General features: G+C 42.6%; 1 protein-coding gene across 50 annotated transcripts in view, besides 1 other annotated feature; it reads right to left on the bottom strand.

The window, feature by feature from the left end:
- NAV2 (neuron navigator 2) overlaps positions 1 to 20,462 on the bottom strand; it is a 776,366-nt gene that overhangs the window by 41,139 nt on the left and 714,765 nt on the right. For all 50 annotated transcript variants that reach the window (XM_017018520.3, XM_047427824.1, XM_017018522.2 and 47 more), the window contains 6 exons: positions 18,104 to 18,156; positions 12,254 to 12,277; positions 12,065 to 12,139; positions 2,828 to 2,911; positions 2,359 to 2,470; positions 254 to 399 (listed from right to left, as the gene is read on the bottom strand). In XM_017018520.3, coding sequence (XP_016874009.1) covers positions 254 to 399; positions 2,359 to 2,470; positions 2,828 to 2,911; positions 12,065 to 12,139; positions 12,254 to 12,277; positions 18,104 to 18,156 — 494 coding nt within the window. The remainder of the gene's footprint in view (positions 1 to 253; positions 400 to 2,358; positions 2,471 to 2,827; positions 2,912 to 12,064; positions 12,140 to 12,253; positions 12,278 to 18,103; positions 18,157 to 20,462) is intronic.
- Positions 14,966 to 15,768: an enhancer, noted in NCBI's record as "OCT4-NANOG-H3K27ac hESC enhancer chr11:20086241-20087043 (GRCh37/hg19 assembly coordinates)". NCBI's record gives its function as "activates a minimal SCP1, AML or CMV promoter by ChIP-STARR-seq in naive H9 embryonic stem cells {active_cell/tissue: H9 hESC(naive)}" and the evidence as "EXISTENCE:reporter gene assay evidence [ECO:0000049][PMID:30033119]".

Here is a 20,462-nt window from a genome sequence, read left to right as displayed (position 1 = left end):
TGAGTACTTTATGAAAAGTCTCATGAAAGAGAAAAAAATACAAAGTGGTAGGGATGTTACAGATTCTAGTGTTTTGCTGAGTACAATATTGATTTTAGTAAAAACCCATCCACAAACCATTTCCTGGGATCTACGCCCAAAGTGCTATGTTCCACAGATAGTAGCTGGGCTGGACTTTATCTGGGGAGATGCAGCAGCCAGTTCTGCAACTGACTCTGTCCGTCAGTCCCCAGGAGAGTGGATGTGCACTCACCCAGTTCTTCCGCTTCTTCTTCTTTGAGTCACTCTCTATGTTGCTGCCCACGCTGGAGTGGCTGGTGGCACTGTTGATGCTGGAGACGCTGTCTGAGGAGTGCTGCCTGCGGATGCGGAGGTCTGCAGACTGGGCAGTGCCGTTTCCTGGAGACCAAGGCAGGGTGTTTCAGCAGCTGCCAACCTGAGCCCTATTCTTTATCTCAGGATTTTGCCCTTTAAGCAAAACCCACCCACCTGAGGACTACTGGGTGTTTTCCACATATACATCAACTCTGATCCCTACAGCTGTTTCTAAGATCCTTGAATAGGTGAGTGCATTGCCCTCTTTGGTCAATTAAATGAGGTCTATCTCTCCCCACTTTACAAAACAGAAGTCAAGGGAGGTGTAGGGAGAATTTCCCCAACACCAGCTCTTAAGCTTTAGATAGGTGTGGAAATGTGCTTGTGAACTGAGCAGTTGGCACCTTCATTGCTAGCCCCCTCCCTCTCCTGCTCTCTGGGCTCCTGTCACAGTGGCCTTCTTGCAGCCCTCTGGAAGTGCCATGCCTGCCTCATCTAGGGCCCTTCCATGTGCTATCCCTCTATCTGGATATTCTTTTCCCTTGACTCTGTCCAGCCAACTCATTTGCAAATCCTTCCCATTTCAAAGCTATTATCACTTTTTCGGGAGGCCCAATAGACTAAACAACACCGATATTGAAAATGTGTGATATCTGACATAAAGTTTGCAGATAGTTTTTCTCATGAGGACAGAACTACACCTAAAGGCTGGTCTTTGAGAACACTAGTTGTAGGGTCAAACCAACTCATCAGGTTCTAGCCCCACTTCAGTTTCTCCCTAATCCCTGACCTTAAAAAGTGACCCTCGGCCGGGTGTAGTGGATCATGCCTGTAATCCCAGCACTTTAGGAAGCCAAAGCAGGCAGACCACTTGAGGTCAGAAGTTCGAGACCAGCCTGGCCAACATGGTGAAACCCTGTCTCTACTAAAAATACAAAAACCAGCCAGGCGTGTTCGCATGCGCCTGTAGTCCCAGCTACTCAGGAGGTGGAGGCAGGAGAATCACTTGAACGCAGGAGGCAGAGGTTACAGTGAGCGGAGATCATGCCAGTGCACTCCAGCCTGGGCAACAGAGTGAAACTCCGTCTCAAAAAAAGAAAAAGGAAGTGACTCTCATCTATGAACACTAGTGTCCTCATCAGTACAAGCAGGAAAGAACAGAATCACACTCACAAGATTGTTGTAGAAAGAAAACCAGATAATGAAATCATTGAAACACTTAGCACTGCCCTTAGAACGTAGTAAGTATTCCATAAATCCTAGCTCTCCATATTACTTCTGTGATTACTATTACTGTTAATATTATTGTTATAAGAGCTAAGTCACCTGCACTCCTACATTACCCCAAGATACACAAGGACAAAATAATTCACTTAGAAATGTTTTCCTAGGCTGGGCATGGTGGCTCATGCTCGTAATCCTAGCACTTTCGGAGGCCGAGGTGAGCGGATTGCTTGAGGACAGGAGTTCAAGACCAGCCCAGCCAACATGGCAAGACCTGTCTCTACTAAGAATACATAAATTAGCCAGGCATGCTGGCACATGCCTGTAATCCCAGCTACTTGGGAGGCTGAGGCAGGAGAATCACTTGAACCCGGGAAGTAGAGGTTGCAGTGAGCCAAGATTGCACCACTGCACTTCAACCTGGGTGACAGAGCAAGAGTGTCTCAGAAAAAAAAAGAAATCTTTTCTTGGACAAATAAGGGAGGAACTCAGTTCAGCTTATGCCATATATCAGCATGCAAATATCAAAGTGCTAGTGAAATTAAGGGTTGTAAAATACTTTAACACTCTGCCAATAGAAACATGTTTTCTTCCATTTTTCAGATATATCAGAGAAGAAGATGAACTACCATAGCCATCTTTGTAGAGGCCAGAAGTGACTTGATTAAAGGTGTTTGCCTTCCAGTTCCTGCTTGCCTGACATGGAGCTGAATTACGCAGACACTGTCTTCTAGCAAGGAGGTTGCATCATATGATGTCAGGGGAGGGCTCCTAAGGGCAGGCAGGTCTTCTGGCTAAAGGCTGTTTCCCTTACTTTACCTTTGCAGTTGAGCTCAGGTGTGTTAATTACTCCATTAATGGCAGCCTGGGCAGCTGCGTTCTGTTTCTTTAGCAGCTCAATGGTTTTTCTTAACTCATTCAGTTCTGAGTCCTAGGGAACAGAAAAAATTATTGGTCAGCCTAAAATCATTCTGTACAGAGTTCAACTGAAGTACAACTTGGCTTCAACACAGGAGGAGCGGGAATGAAGTAGCTCAACAAAACCTTTCAGATGGATCAACAGGCATGAACAAACACATAAAAGTAGGATTATAACTACAAGATCTATCATTGATGCCATTATCAATCTGTCATATTTTCACTCAACAGATTGGACTCCTTACAATTAAACTTTAACAGTTCAAGAAATACATTAACATCCACACAATGATCTGAAATGAAAGAATAGTATTTTCAAGTTTGTTGTTAACTCCAAGTAGGGAGGGTTAAAGTATCCTTTCTGCCTTACCTTCTGCTCAGCTGTCATGGTCAGACTCTGGAGCCTGATTGTCATGTTACCAAGACTCTGTTCAAAGGCTGCCACAAGGTGAGCCTGGAGGGGAAGACACAACCTCAGTTATATTACCTTGCAAGGCAAGAGTGCTTAGAAGGTGTCTGGCTCTTAAAGATGAAAATCCTGTGGGTCCATTGATCTAGGCTACTTTTTCAGCCTCCTCTTGAATCCCACTCCCCACCACTCTTTGGGATCCAGTCACTCCAGTCTTCTACTTGCTCAAACAACCCGTGCTCCTTCCCATCTTAGGGCCCTTGTACATCTTTTCCCCTCTACCTGAAATGTTCTTCCCTCTCAACCCTTTCTCCCATTCCTTGCCTAATAATTTTTACCTGTCTGTGTAAAGAGCTCTCGGCTCGTACTTTCACGACACCCTCATATGCACTCTCACAAGCAAACTGTACTTCTGATATACACTTTGAGATATCATAGTTAAAAATACATGCAGTCTTGTAATTGGTAATGTATGTCTGTCTTCTCTACTACAATGGAGGATGATCTTCTGTTCACCAAGTGCTAAGCTCACAATAGAGGCTCATATTAAGCATGTTAGTAGAATGAACAAACAAAATGGTTGGCGTAGTTTGCTTGTTATAATCCTGGTTAATAAAAAGCCACTGAAAGGCCCATCTGCTACCTCCTCAGAGAAATGTTTCCCAGTTCCTCCAGGGGGTTACCACTTTCCCACAGGCTTTCACGTAGTTTTATACACTTCTGTTAGAATATGACATAAGATGTACCATTATTTTATATTTCTAAGAATTTTTTAAATGCTTCCAGTTATAAGTAAAATAGCATCTAATTTTCAGAGATGTTAAAATACAAAAAAAGAGTAAGTTTAAGAATGGGGAAATGTGGCATTTTCCTGACTGCCACTTGCTCTGCAACTCTCTTCAAGGGTAAGAGGTAACTTTGTGCCCTAACACTAAGCTTTTGACTGTGAAGCAGAGTAGTAGGTGATATATTAGTTGATTGAATGAGAATCCTGGTAATGTTATTAAAGCCAAAAATAAAGAATGGAGCTGTTTCAAACAGTCATGCTAAGGAATTTCCAGCAATAGACTGAAGAAGCCATTAGGCAGCTAGGATCTTCTAATCTCCAATCTCTACTTGTATAATGGAATAGTGGCATGTCCAAGAGTGAGAGGCATTTGAGCAGCAGATGAGAAGGATCACCAGATTGTGCATTTGATGAGGACTGACACCATGTCTACCTTGCTCCTTACTGTATCCACACTGCTGGTACAAAAACAGCCACTCAATCATATATGTTGGATGAGCAATTAAAGGATTGAAAAGAAAAGCACTTAGATGAAGGAGGCAGTGTAGTACAGGGGAAGGGAACAGGATTTAGAGTTAGAGGTCTTCAGCTCTCCCTGTAGTTCCTTCTGAATACCCATAACAGAGCAAATCACCTGATCCTAGCAGCCTCAGCTTCATATATGAAATGGTACCAATATCTATTTTCCTCCCAGGGTTATTTTCAGCTAAATGAAACAAGGCCGGTGAAAATGGTCTATGAACTGTTCAGGTACTGCAAAACACAGGAATGCATGGACACTTGTGGGGAAAAAAGGAGGTTTGGGAATGAGAAAGTGACAAGAGAAACTATGAGAGGAGTGAGACTACCTGAGAACACAGGTGTAGACAGGGGGAGTAGAAACACAGTGGGCTGCAAGAGGGATGAGAAGGGCAGAGGATATATGGGAGGAGCTTGGGAGATGTGAGATTTGATCATGCTGTGAAATTCGAGAGGAGGAGATGACTGACACACACAGTGAGGAATCAACGCTGGATAAGCATGGGGGGTGGGTGGGGAGATGCTTTTGCCGTGCACTGTGAGGAGGCACAGTGACATTTCAATCTAAGGAGAGATGTGAGGGGTAAAGAGAGGCCTGTTATTAGACTTCATTAAACAGGGATGGTGGAGGCTAAGACATCTCTAGAATCAACCGCTGGCAGGGAGCATTTCTACTTGTAGTAGAAATGTTAAGTGGAATAGTTAGCTTCTCTCTCATTGCACTCCCTCTCTCTATTAAAAATGGAGACAGGCCAGGCGTGGTAGCTCATGCCTGTAATCCCAGCACTTTGGGAGGCTAAGGCGGGCGGACCCTGAGGTCAGGAGATCGAGACTATCCTGGCTAACACGGTGAAACCCCGTCTCTACTAAAAATACAAAAACAAACAAACAAACAAAAAACTAGCTGGGCATGGTGGTGGGCACCTGTAGTCCCAGCTACTCGGGAGGCTGAGGCAGGAGAATGGCGTGAACCCGGGAGGCGGAGCTTGCAGTGAGCCAAGATTGTGCCACTGCACTCCAGCCTGGGCAACAGAGCGGGATGAGACTCTGTCTCAAAAAAAAAAAAAACAAAACAAAAAAACAAAAAACATGGAGACAGTGCCTCTGCATTTTAAAATAAAGAGATATGCTTTAGTCTGCCCTGGAGAGTGTGGCAAAACAAAAGCCAATCAATTTATGACAGTCACATAGTTGACAAAGGAAACAGGCCAGGGCCTGGATGTTTCAAAGAACATTTACTATCCTCATATTGCAAATGAATGACAAAGTTAAATGTAAATGATTGGATTTCCATTGATTTCAGTTCTGCATTTGATTGTCACCCATGACTCCACTTACGGGCATTCCTATTGTAAACAGGCTAAATGCCCCAATCAAAAGACACAGACTGACAAATTGGATAAAGAGCCCAGACCCTTCAGTGTGCTGTATTCAGGAGACCCATCTCACGTGCAAAGACAGACATAGGCTCAAAATAAAGGGATGAAGGAATATTTACCAAGCAAATGGAAAGCAAAAAAAAAAAAAAAAGCAGAGTTGCAATCCTAGTCTCCAATAAAACAGACTTTAAACCAAGAAAGATAAAAAGATACAAAGAAGGCCATTACATGACGGTAAAGAGATCAATGCAACAAGAAGAGCTCACTATCCTAAATATATATGCACCCAAAACAGGAGCACCCAGATTCATAAAGCAAGTCCTTAGAGACCTACAAAGAGACTTAGACTCCCACACAATAACAGTGGGAGACTTTAACACCCTACTGTCAATATTAGACAGATGAACAAAACAGAAAATTAACAAGGATATCCAGGACTTGAGCTCATCTCTGGACCAAGCACACCTAATAGACATCTACAGAACTCTCAACCCCACATCAACAGAAAATATGTTCTTCTCAGCACCACATCACACTTATTCTAAAATTGACCACATAATCGGAAGTAAAACACTCCTCAGCAAATGCAAAAGAATGGAAATCATAGCAAACAGACTCTCAGACCACAGTGCAATCAAATTAGAACTCATGAATAAGAAACTCACTCAAAACCACACAACTACATGGAAACTGAACAACCTGCTCCTGAATGACTACTGGGTACATAAGGAAATGAAGGCAGAAATAAAGATGTTCTTTGAAACCAATGAGAACAAAGATACAACATACTAGAATATCTGGGACACATTTAAAGCAGTGTGTAGAGGGAAATTTATAGCACTAAATGCCCACAAGAGAAAGCAGGAAAGATCTAAAATCGACACCCTGAGATCACAATTAAAAGAACTAGAGAAGCAAGAGCAAACAAATTCAAAAGCTAGCAGAAGACAAGAAATAACTAAGATCAGAGCAGAACTGAAGGAGATAGAGACACAAAAAACCCTTCAAAAAATCAGTGAATCCAGGAGGTCGTTTTTTGAAAAGATCAACAAAATAGACTGCTAGCCAGACTAATACAGAAGAAAAGAGAAAAGAATCAAATAAGATGCAATAGAAAATGATAAAGGGGATATCACCACCAATCCCACAGAAATACAAACTACCATCAGAGAATACTATAAACAGCTCTACGTAAGCAAACTAGAAAATCTAGAAGAAATGGATAAATTCCTGGACACATACACCCTCCCAAGACTAAACCAGGAAGAAGTCAAATCCCTGAGAAGACCAATAAGAAGTTCTGACATTGAGGCAGCAATTAATAGCCTACCAACCAAAAAAAGTCCAGAACTAGATGGATTCACATCCAAATTTTACCAGAGGTACAAAGAGGATCTAGTACCATTCCTTGTGAAACTATTCCAAATAATAGAAAAAGAAGGAATCCTCCCTGGCTCATTTTATGAGGCCAGCATCATCCTGATACCAAAACCTGGCAAAGACAAAACAAAAAAAGAAAATTTCAGGCCAATATCCTTGATGAACATCAATGTGAAAATCCTCGGTAAAATACTGGCAAACCAAATCCAGCAGCACATCAAAAAGCTTATCCACCATGATCAAGTGGGCTTCATCCCTGGGATGCAAGGCTGGTTCAACATAAGAAAATCAATAAATGTAATCCATCACATAAACAGAACCAAAGACAAAAACCACATGATTATCTCAATAGATGCAGAAAAGGCCTTGGACAAATTCAACAGCCCTTCATGCTAAACACTCTTAATAAACTAGATATTGATGGAATGTATCTCAAAATAATAAGAGCTATTTATGACAAACCCACAGCCAATATCATACTGAATGGGCAAAGACTGGAAGCATTCCCTTTGAAAACTGGCACAAGACAAGGATGCCCTCTCTCACCGCTCCTATTCAACATAGTATTGGAAGTTCTGGCCAGGGCAATCAAGCAAGAGAAGGAAATAAAGGGTATTCAATTGGGAAAACAGGAAGTCAAATTGTCTCTGTTTGCAGATAACATGATTGTATGTTTAGAAAACCCCATCTTCTCAGCCCAAAATCTCCTTAACCTGATAAGCAACTTCAGCAACATCTCAGGATACAAAATCAATGTGCAAAAATCACAAGCATTCCTATACGCCAATAACAGAAAAACAGAGAACCAAATCATGAGTGAACTCCCATTCACAATTGCTACAAAGAGAATAAAATACCTAGGAATACAACTTACAAGGGACGTGAAGGACCTCTTGAAGGAGAACTACAAACCACTGCTCAAGGAAATAAGAGAGGACATAAACAAATGCAAAAACATTCCATGTTCATGGATAGTAAGAATCAATATCATGAAAATGGCCATACTGCCCAAAGTAATTTATAGATTCAATGCTATCCCCATCAAGCTACCAATGACTTTCTTCACAGAATTGTAAAAAAACTACTTTAAATTTCATATGGAACCAAAAAAGAGTCTGCCTAGCCAAGACAATCTTAAGCAAAAAGAACAAAGCTGGAGACATCACACTGACTTCAAACTATACTACAAGGCTACAGTAACCAAAACAGCATGGTACTGGTACCAAAACAGATATATAGACCAATGGGACAGAACAGAGGCCTCAGAAATAATGCCACACATCTACAACCATCTGATCTTTGACAAACCTGACAAAAACAAGCAATGGGGAAAGGATTCCCTATTTAATAAATGGTGTTGGCAAAACTGGCTAGCCATATGCAGAAAGCTGAAACTGGACCCCTTCCTTACACCTCATACAAAAATTAACCCAAGATGGATTAAAGAATTAAACCTAAGACCTAAAATCATAAAAACCTTAGAAGAAAACCTAGGCAATACTATTCAGGACATAGGCATGGGCAAAGCCTTCATGACTAAAATATCAAAAGCAATGGGAACAAAACCAAAATAGACAAAAGGGATCTAATTAAAGAGCTTCTGCACAGCAAAAGAAACTTCATCAGAGTGAACAGGCAACCTACAACATTGAAGAAAATTTTTGCAATCTATCCATCTGACAAAGGGCTAATATCCAGAACTTAAACAAATTTATAAAGAACTTAAACAAATTTACAAGAAAAAAACACCCACCCACCCATTTAGTGGGTGAAGGATATGAACAGACACTTTTCAAAAGAAGACATTTATGCAGCCAACAAACATATGAAGAAATGCAAATCAAAACCACAATGAGATACCATCTCATGTCAGTTAGAATGGCAATCATTAAAAAGTCAAGGAACAACAGATGCTGGAGAGGATGTGGAGAAATAGGAACACTTTTATACTGTTGATGAGAGTGTAAATTAGTTCAACCATTATGTAAGACAGTGTGGCAATTCCTCAAGGATCTAGAACTAGAAATACCATTTGACCCAGCAATCCCATTACTGGGTATATACCCCCAAAGGATTATAAATCATTTTACTATAAAGACGCATGCACACGTATGTTTATTGCAGCACTGTTCACAATAGCAAAGATTTGGAACCAACCCAAATGCCCATCAATGATAGAGTGGATAAAGACATGTGGCACATATACACCATGGAATTCTATGCAGCCATAAAAAGGATGAGTTCATGTCCTTTTCAGGGACATGGATGAAGCTGGAAACCATCATTCTCAGCAAACTAACACAAGAACCAAAAACCAAACACTGGATGTTCTCATTCATAAGTGGGAGTTGAACAATGAGAACACATGGCACATGGATACATGGAGGGGAACATCAGACACCAGGGCCTGTCGGGGGGTGGGGGGCTAGGGGAGGGATAGTATTAGGAGAAATGCCTAATGTAGATGACGAGTTGATGGGTGCAGCAAACCACCATGGCACATGTATACGTACGTAACGAACCTGCACATTCTGCACATGTACCCCAGAACTTAAAGTATAATAAAAAAAAAATTTAAAAAACCTGACCCCATGAAGACTGCTATTGAGAAGGTGTTTTTGCAAGCTTAAAAAGAAAACACATTTGCTCTGGAGATCCAGAGGATCCCATTTTTCTGCTAAACAAAAGGGTTGCCTTTGTGTCATTAGCACAACTATGAAAATACAGACTGTGGAGGCTGTTCCAAGCCTGGTTCAGAGCCACACACAACAGCCTACTCATCAAGTGCCACGCTCACATTCCCAGGGAAAACAAACACAAGTGGTATAAAAACACTCAGAGAAGGTGGTTTTGAGTAGTTTGCCCTAGAAAAACAAACACAGCTTGGTTTGCGAGAAAGATGGCAGACAATAAAACATGTTCACCCTTCCAGCAGTGTGCGGTAAGACTAAATATTTACTTTAAAACAATACTGGATTCAGTGCCTTTTATGAGGAACAAAACACTCTTCTGGAATAATATAAGGGATCTCACTCTGACTCTTCTAGAACAGAGAGCAGAGTTCCAAATGGCCCAAGGTGAGGCTCCTGTGGCAGCACGAGGTCACTGGAACAATTAACCCAAGTTCACCGGAAAGTAAGTTAACTACTATTTGTTGATTAGTAAAGGCAACAATTGGCATCTGTAACTCTTAAACTAGGAGAGTAGCTCAGAATCACTGTGGTTTGACAGGGGTTTGCTGTCAAACCACACATTTGGATTACACTCAGAAGACCCTGACTTGCTGGGTCTAGGGTTTGTTCTGGATTCAAATCTACACATCTAGTTATCCAGATGAAGAATCTGCCCACGGGATAGAACCTGTCTATAGAATACTGTTTTTCTGAACAGGACCTACGCCTCAGAATTAAGTTCTCATGTCAGTTTTTAAAGTTCTTTTGATAGCATTACTGGTGGCAGAAGAGGTAAAGAAAATAAAAGATTACAAAACACGTTGTGGTCTCCTACGTTAGGGTTTTTAAAAAAATCAAAGATTTCCAGAAAAGAAAGAGAACTTAGGAGACTACATATTAATGGGGGCAGCTACCAGTTACTGAGCTAATAACTAAGGTCAAGCACTGTACTAGGTATGTCACATGCCGACCTTAAAGAGAAATGGTTCCCTTGAGTAAACTAAGGCTCAAGCTGGGAATACCATGGCAAAAACTCCGGGCGAATGACTGATGTGGGGGACTGGCTCAGTTTTCTAGTTGAGGGAAGACAGCCTCTTGAAGTTGGTTTCCATTTTAACGACATGCTGTGGTCATGCAGGTTGCTTTCTGTCTGGCTTGAACACGTTTATCAACGGGCTCAGGCTGGGTGGTGAACTCCTGGGCAGCAAGCCTTGCCTCAGAGGCACCTTAGCACCTTTCGATATCTCAGGCTCTGCCCTCTGAGCTTCATCCTTCACCTGGTCACAGCTGTGCATCAGGGCTCCAATACAGACATGGCTGATGGGGGTGGGGGAAGAGGCACCTCTGCCTCTACTCTGATCCTCTATCTAAAGTGCAAACCAGCCCACCCACTGCTTACTTAAAACGCACTGAGAGGTGTCTGCTAACTTCAGGAGGAAGCCCGGATGCTCACCCCAACAGCTCAGACACTGTGATCTGACCCCTGGCTTTCTTCGCTGCCTTCTTCCTCCCTACTTCTGTCCCCTCTCCACCCTTACCTCTCCTCCACATCCAAGCCATAGACACTAATTACACCCACCTACTGAGAGTTCAAAATACACCAAGATCTTTCTCCTTAACCTTTGTGCAAATTATTCTCTTTGGTTAGAATGCTGTCATCCCTATGCATTCTCCCCTACCTAGCATCCATTAGATGTCACCTCCTCCAGGAAGTCCTTCCTGTCCCCCTTTTAAAAAATTTTTTTCTTATTTTCAATATCAGATGAGCTGTCCCCTTTTTCATCCCCCACCAAGAGTGAGCTAGGTGCTCCCCCTAGATATTCCCACTGCCACCTCCTCCCTTTATCTTAACAGTTATCATGTTATAGCAAAATTGTTTGTTTTGTTTCTCTGCTGTCCCAGAGACTGAATGTTAAGATGTCAGTCACTGTGCTTGCTCTGCTGTTGAACCCACAGTGCCCGGGGCATAGCTGGCACTCAAACAGTTGTTGAATTGAATGCTGGTTGGCAGCATCTCCTAAACTCATAATCGTGTATATCACAATGACAGAGCAGCTACCTAGATATTGAAAAGCCCTACATTTCTTTTCTTCCCCCTTCTTTCCTTTTTGCTTCTTTTTCCCACCCTTAAAATCAAAATTTTCAGAAAGAGGAAGAGAAATTAAGATTTTAATAAGCACTTCGCATATTGCAAGCATTGACTGTGGGCCAATACTGAGATGTAAATACTATCACCCTCGTTACACAGATAAGGACACGCAGGCTGAGATTCAAGAACTTACCCAAAGTCACAAAGCCAGTAAGTGTCCAAACTGACATTCACACCCATGATGCCAAAGCCTGTGTCTTTTTCTTTATAATGTGCTACTTCTATTTGTTCAGCACAGGAGGACTTGAGGCTGTTCAGAAGGCAAGGATGGTGCTTCCTGTCCCGATGCTACTGCCCTATGTCTGTACTTACATTTGCTGTCAGCTGGGTGGTCAAAGCTGAAACTTTCTCCTGGGAGGCATCCAGTTCCCGCCGCAGCTTGCGAATCTAAAGATGACAAGGGAGAGGGTTACATGCTTTGGGGGTCCATTTCCAAGGTGAGCAGGGTCAAATAATTGACAATACTTAAAGAGGAAATCCAACCAGAAAGCTGTTCCTTACCTCTGACTGGCATTTTTCTTCTGGCTGTAAAGAAAACATAAAGGAAATTAGACCAGTTAAGGAACAAAGAATAGTGTAGTCCAGCCCATCGGGAACACCATATTCAGATGGTTGCAGCAGTCTGGAAGAATTATTAGTTTCTTTTCTGGTGTATTTCTCTGGAAAAACTGGTTCAATTAAATTGACCCATCAGAAAGGCCAAATACAAACGGCTTATGATTTTTAAAAATTAGGAAGAATGAGAACACCACTCCACATTTTGGTTGTGAGGAGCCACCCTGCTCCCCAGGCGGGGATGGTGATAGGTAAAGTGCTCAGAAGAAGATATGTGATAAGAAGGCCATGAGTCAGATTTAGTAAACAAAAATACAGGAGGCCTAGTTAAATTTGAATAGCTTTAAAAAAAACAAAAAGGTCTAGGACTGGGCATGGTAGCTCATGCCTGACATCCCAGTACTTTGGGAGGCTGAGGTTGGTGGACCACTTGAGGTCAGGAGTTGAAGACCAGCCTGGCCAACATGGTGAAACCCATCTCTACTAAAAATACAAAAAAAAAAAAAAAAAATTAGCCGGGTGTGATGGCATGCACCCATAATCCCAGCTACTTGGGAGGCTGAGGCAGGAGAATGGCTTGAACCCAGGAGGTGGAGATTGCAGTGAGCTGAGATCACACCACTGCACTCTAGCCTGGGCAACAGAGGCTACCCGTCTCAAAAAATAAAATAAAGGGTCTAATATGTCCCATGCAATATTAGGGACATATTTATACTAAAAAAAATTTTGTTGTTAATCTAAATTTCACATTTAATTGAGGGTTTAGTATTTTCTCTGGCAACCCTGTCTAGGGAGCAAGGAAGACTGCTCCTGGGTTAATTCTGCCCCATTTTCTGCCCTCCTCTCACTTCCCTAGGACACCACAGTGGGAGCACCAGGGTAGAAAGATCTCAAAGTGAGGGGGGTTTGGGAGCCCCTATCAGCCAGCCTGGTAACTCCACAGGTTGTGAGGATAAATGTGGCCTTCATCTTCGTGCTGTCCCATTTCAAGGACCCCAATTACCTGTGACCCTGTGAAGTAATCGTGAACTCTGCTGCCCCTCTTACTGGCTTCCCTCTTTGTCCCTTACATGCTGGCTCTGTGTCTAGGTGACACAGGTACCTGCTAGCCAGAAACTATAAGACCCTCTCTCCTCCCACAGGGGGAGCCCACATGAATTGGGGAGCCTGCTGCAGGAGGAACCTTTCTTTCCCTCTCCTCTGGTTCCCACAGGGGCTCATAAAGAGGAACCCTCCTCCTTCCTGGAAATGTTGAGTGTTCCTGACCTTCTCTCTACCCATCGCTGTACCCAGGGAGGGAAGAGTGACTTGGGAACCAGATAGGTGAGTGAACATCAGTAAGAACTCTATTTTGTCCTTGGGTCCTCGCTAGGTGTCCTAATCCAATTTTACTAGGCATAAGCCCATTATTTTTTAAAAATCAGCATCTGACCCTGATGTCAGCATCTCCATTAGTTCACAATACAAAGTGGGTATGATTCATTAGAACTCGCAGGGCACATCCATCAGCTGGAATAGGTAGGCAGCTGCTTCCTGTCTGATCCGCCTTCAACCTATGCTCCCCATTGTCCTCCCTCCTGATCCTGCCCACAAGTCCCCTCCTCTAGGTTGGCTCCTACTAGCAGCAACCAATTTTTAAATACACGGAGCCAAGTCATTTAATCCTTGCAGAAACTCCATTAGGTAGGTTTGTTTGTATTCCTTCTGAGGTTCAGAGACGTTAAATGTCTTGTATAAAGTCACACTGAACAACCTCCTTATCTAAGAAATGCTTTCAGGAGAAGGTTGGAAGATGTCTTCAGAGCTCAATCTTCCCTCCCAGATAATATTCATTTGTCTTTGTCTGTCCATCTATCCTCACTACCACCACCTATCAAATACTTACTGATTTCCTACTGTGTGCCAGGCACTATTTTTAAGAACCTAAGATAGAGCCGTGAACATGACCAAGTCCCTGACCTTGTGTTGCCTGCATTCTGGTAATAACAGCTAGCATTTATTGAATGCTTACCATGTGCCAGAGACTGTTCCAAGCACTTTACATTCATTATTCATCTAATCCTTTTAACAACTCTTTGAGGAGGTACTAATACTATTGCTTTCTGTTTTGTGTATGAGGAAACTGAGGCACAGGAAGGTTCAGTCATTTGTCCAGGGTCACAGCTGGTAAGTGGCAGAGTTGGGACTGGATCTAAAGTAGTCTGGCTCCAGAGCCTAGGCATATTCTCCTGCACTTTTACTATAGTTACATTCTCACGGGGGCTTTCCAGAAATAAGCCCCAAGTTCAATCCAAAGGGTACAAGTTAATGGTGAGAATGTAACCACTATCTAACATTTAGAAGGCTGGCGGAGGCCTGTTAGCAGGCTTAGCCATCCACATAGGACAAGGCTACTTTGAAACACTTCTATCGACAGGCCCTAACAGCCCTTCCCCATGCCTCTGCCACTGTCTGTCACTGTGCCCACCTGTCTCTGGGGTTGGGCCCCAATTATCAACAGCAGCCTAGAGAAAGCATGTGCTTTGTATCTTGCCCCCCTTGCCGCTGTTCTGCACATCTGGTAACACTATGTGAAGCTGCTAGCCTCCATCCATCCAGCAGCTCTCCTGGGAACTCCAGTGTTCCCTACCAAACAAGAAAGCAAGTCTAATGCCAGAAGTGGCCTTTGAGATTTTCTCTACTCCAAGAGGTAGCCATAACTTTTCCATGGCAATCATTTAGCACTGTGTAATCTTTTCTTTCACTGATAATTAAAATTGCAAATTTCATGCAGAATGAGCATTCTTGAATATTCATTATAGACATTTCAAGGAAAGAATCTACTGTCATCCAATAAGAGCCTTTAAAACTCTCAGCAGGCTCCTTGGTCTGGGTCTGTGGCAACTTAACATTTCAAAGATCTCTTTTCAGACAACAAACAAATACTTTATTCACCTTAACATTTACAAAGGTGCCTGGAGCATGTGTTTCAGAATTTCATTATCACGAAGAATGTAATAACAGATAAAGGACCACACCTCAGTGCTAGGCGGTAGCAGAGTCTAGCCAGACTTGTAGTTTTTCTTGAAATTAGTAGACAGCACCAGCATAAAAACATTCCACTGATAGGCTATTTTTTTTTAAGTCTGCAAAAGCAACCTATATTCTCAGAGAAGGCATACTGAGGACAGTAAATGGGAGCCTTTGACTCCATGACTCATGGAATGTCAGAGATTGTAGGGGCCTCAGAAGATCACCTTGCTTGGTTTCCTGATGCCAAGGGCAAAACTGGGGAGACACTCTGAATAACCAGATGACTTGTCCAAAGTCATATGGTGAGAAGAACGCTATGATTACACCTCGGGTCTCTTGTTATCCAGATAAAAATGGAATTCAAAAGTATTATTATTAGGTCTTTACTAATTCATTGAATTTATATTAGCTCAGAAAAGACAATTTCAAATTTCATGAAAACAGTATCTTCACGTCCCCATACCCAGAACAACAGCTACTGAAGGAGAGTCTTTTACTGTAAGGACTTCTAGTGGTTGGCATGAAGGGGCTGCCCCCAGGAACTGCATGTGACAGTTTCCTAGATCTGAAGACACACAGGTTGAGAAGCTTAAGCTCTTTCCCTCCAAGTCTGCATAATGCTGGCCAGTCTCCCATTTTTTTACTCTTCTGGAAAACCCACTCCCCTCTGTGTTGGCAAGAACCCTTGGGAATGCCACAGGGAAAACACGGGGCTGGGCACTGAAACATCCACTACAGCTTCTCTGTGCCAGTCCTGTGAAGCTAGAGTCCCATGTCCCTCTGGTGCCTACAGCTTCCTCCGTCAGTAGCAGGCTCCTTTCTCTCCTAAATTATATCCTAGGGGTTAGTCCAGAGCCTGGTATATCCATGGTGCTAGTAAATACTGTTGAAGAAGTGCATTTAGGTTTGAAAGTACCAGCCTTGGTACCCATATCCCACAGTTTCATTCTAGAAGAAAGGACATAGTTTATCTACTGGCTGACAGCTGAAAGACCATCTCTATGCTTTCTTAGCAGATGATGGCTTAAAAAACCTCTCTCCAAGGTTACTCTATATAAAGCCTTTAAAAGGAAAGCTAGGACTTAGTGATGAAATTTCAAACAAGATGACTAGCTGAGGAAAGAGGAATTTTAGAGTTGGAGGGGTGAGGTGGGTAGAAGCAAGGGTTTCTAGGTCCTTCAAAACAGACCATATCAGCAATCACTGAAGTTTGTTTGCTCAATACAGGCCTAAGTTAGGCCCTGGTATCTTTAACTTGATTCTGGGGTGTCCTCTTATTTTCCAGGAGCTATACACAGTGTATTCTGCTATATAGAAACCAGGCATTATCAAAACCTAAATTATTAAAACATTTGTTTCCATGGGATTAAGGGCTAAAGAATTTCCAATTCACAATTAACAAAGAGACTTTTTTTTTCCCTGTAGAAATTCCCAAATTACTGTTTTTAAAGTAAATAGCATACAGCTATAGCCATGCGCGGTGGCTCACGCCTGTAATCCCAACACTTCGGGAGGCTGAGATGGGCGGATCACTTGAGGTCAGGAGTTCAAGAACAGCCTGGCCAACATGGTGAAATCCCGTCTCTACTAAAAATGTAAAAAAATTAGCCAGGCATGGTGGTGCCTGCCTGTAATCCCAGCTACTCAGGAGGCTGAGGCAGGAGAATTGCTTGAACCCAGGAGGCAGAGGTTGCAGTGAGCCAAGGTCGTGCCACTTTACTCCAGCCTGGGCGACAGAGCGAGAGTCTGTCTAAAATAAAATAAAATAAATAGTGTACAGCTATAAAAAGTAAATACTACTGAACAAATCCAGTAGTACTGAAGATCTAAATGTATTTGATTACATTTGGCTTTCGTTTACTAAACCTCTCTCATGGATGATAGCTAGCATTTAGGAGTGCTTGCTCTGAGCTGTGTGTACTATATTCATTGTTTTAGATTCATTTTCCCATTTCTTTCAAACCTACTTAAAAAATACCTACTACGTGCTAGGTACTGTTCTAGGCACTAGGAATAAAAACAAAAATGTCCTTGTCTAGAAAGAGTTTATATTGTAGTGAAATGTAATCTTTATAACATTTAATCCTCATTACACCTCTATAAGGTAGGAACTGCTATTATTTCTACTTTACAGATAAAGAAACTGAGGCTGTTCGGGCACCATGGCTCACGCCTGTAATGCCAGCACTTTGGGAGGCCGAGGTGGGTGGATCACAAGGTCAGGAGTTTGAGACCAGCCTGGCCAATATGGTGAAACTCTGTCTCTACTAAAAATACAAAAATTAGCTGGGCGTGGTGGCACATGCCTATAGTCCCAGCTACTCAGGAAGCTGAGGCAGGAGAATCACCTGAGCCCAGGAGGCGGAGGTTGCAGTGAGCCGAGATCAAGCCACTGCATTCCAGCCTGGGCAACAGAGGGAGACTCCGTCTCAAATAAAAAAAGAAAGAAAGAAAGAAACTGAGGCAGACAAAGGATTAATAAATTGCTCAAGGCCTTTATTTTCCAAGTCCATCAGCAGGTGGCCAAGGCTTCTCACACATTCTAAATAGTTATCACCTAAAGCACAATGCCACTTTAACAAGGCAGCCAGTTCTGGATTTTGGGGTTGGTATAATATAATTAATAGCTGTTTGTGAATTTTAAATCTTGTTCCCTAATTAATTGATCCCCTTATAATGGAAATGCTTTCCCTAGGATAAATGCATATATTTTATTCTTGACACATTTGATAAAGGAACCCCAGTTCTCATGATCACAGCCACACAGCATTGATTTATACTCACTGTAGAATAAACTGACGATGTGCTGGAAACCAAGGAGAGTGAGGATCCATGAACTATTAAAAGAAAAAAAAAAGGTGAATTGATAGATGGCTGTTATGGAACCAAAAAGGGGACAGGGGAGGAGAACATCAGCAATACAGGACACTCCAGGCTTGGAATGACTTAATCTCACCTTGACACAACCTTTCCTGGTTTGGCGATAGGTCAGTGACAAATAAGTAATAGTTTGCTAAGGATGTCACTTTTCTATTACCGCATTTTTCCCTTCAACCTTCTGAATACTTTTTCTCTTGACTGTCAAAATAATATATGATTACTGAACAAAAATGTTCAAGTACGGAGAAGTGTTAAGAAGCATATTCACTGTCACAACCTGCACTGACTCACAATTGCATTGCCCGGAGGCAACCTGTTACTGTTCCAGCATATTTCGCTTCACTCTTTTTTCTAATGTATTCCTTTAGGGTTAAGACTGTGTTCCAAATACAGTTTTTTACCCTGTTGGCATCTGTCAGTTGTATATGCAAAAAAAGAGCTGATTATTTTTAACCTAAGAGGCTGTTGGCCACAGTAAGTTCATTCTAGATGACCATATAGCAGAATATTTGTTTAGAAAACATATCCATCAAAATATAGATTCTTTATTTGATTTCTATCATGTCTACAAAGTGATGAGCAAGTGGTGTCTTCTTTTCTGTTTCAAACTGATACTTTTGGACTAGAACCACTTATATGTCCTTAGCACCCTTCCTGCCCCCAGCCAGTGGAGACATCTTTTTTTTTTTTTTTTTGAGATGGAGTTTCACTCTGTTGCCCAGGCTGGAGCGCAATGGCACGATCTCAGCTCACCACAACCTCTGCCTCCCAAGTTCAAGTGATTCTTCTGCTTCAGCCTCCTGAGTAGCTGGGATTATAGGCGTGCGCCACCATGCCTGGCTAGTTTTGTATTTTTAGTAGAGATGGGGTTTCTCCACGTTAGTCAGGCTGCTCTCGAACTCCCAGTCTCAGGTGATCCACCCAGCTTGGCCTCCCAAAGTGCTGGGATTACAGTCATGAGCCACCGCGCCCGGCCAAGACATCTTATTATTTGTTCTAATTTTGCAATATAGTGTTTTCTAGGACTTGGGTATTCTGGCTGCCTTCTTCTGTGGGAAGAAGGTTCTTTATTTTCTTGGTAACTTCTCGACAACTTGTTTGAAAAACAGAACTATTCCTATGTTAAGGCGTCACAGGACTTGTAACTGGGCACAGCTTTCCTGGCCATGGGTGGAATGGCTCTACTCCCACACCGAGTTATGACCTGTAGTCTAAAGTGGGAGGCACTGGGGTAACTTCCACGTGTACTAAATGGCATTCATCTACCACCCACGAAGTGAACTCACCTTGGATTAGCAGTCAGCAGAAGCTATATGCCAACAAGATAGCTGATAAGTAGCTCAGCCTAACACTCAGGTTCCTCTCTGTCATCTTTCCAATAAACCTTCCCTGACCTCTCCTTCTTCCCTTATATGTTCTTGTTACACTATGAATTCTGCACTGCTCTCCCAAGCTTGCCCTAGACAGTACTTTCCTGCCTCAGAGTCTCTGCCCATGCAGTTCTCTTCGTTTAGGCTGCATCTAAATACTGTCTATCAAAACAGATCTGCTCAAATGACATCTTCTCTATGGGACCTTTCCTCATTTCGCAGACTGCCACCTGGGAGGGCTTCCTCCTCCCTCTGAGCCCACGTAACTCTTGGCTTGCTATTCCAGCCCTCTTCTCTCTTAGCAGCTCCCTAATGCTCTAAGCTGTCCCTATATCAGCATGTACATCCACCCTCCTTAGCAATGCCCTGCGTTCTAGATCTTTTCCTCCGTGCTTTCTTCATCCATGACTAATCTGACTCATGCCCATAAAAAATCAGGTTAAGGTGTTAATGGCCAATAATGGCTTTCAGTGTTAATATGTCCACACATTAACAGAGGCCTTTAATGTCCCAACTTTGTGGCCTAATGTTCCACAGAGGTAAGTTAATTCAGCTTACGACACAGACAATAGTGGAGGAATTATGTTGGAGGCCAAGCTGGGTGAAGAGATGTGTGTAACACATAGCCACACACACTTGCATGACTGGCCTGCCAGAGACTAGCACAGGGCTGCTATATGGCCTGTGGCTAATGGAAAATGGAAGTTTTTTCTTTTCTATTTCTACATCTCATATACATACATTTACTGACACAGTTTTAGCAACAACTCGGTACAAGCATGGGGCCACAGGCAGAGAAGAGCACATCTGGCAGGCTTAAGGTAGAGGTAATTATTTTTCTCAATAATTAACTCCTCTCACTTTGTAAATAGCAACAGCAAGGCTGTGTTCCA

Source organism: Homo sapiens, chromosome 11 (genome assembly GCF_000001405.40).
Source record: "Homo sapiens chromosome 11, GRCh38.p14 Primary Assembly".
Classification (NCBI taxonomy): Eukaryota; Metazoa; Chordata; class Mammalia; order Primates; family Hominidae; genus Homo; species Homo sapiens.
The sequence above is the reverse complement of the archived record's forward strand: the minus strand, read 5'-3'. Positions and strand labels throughout refer to the sequence as shown.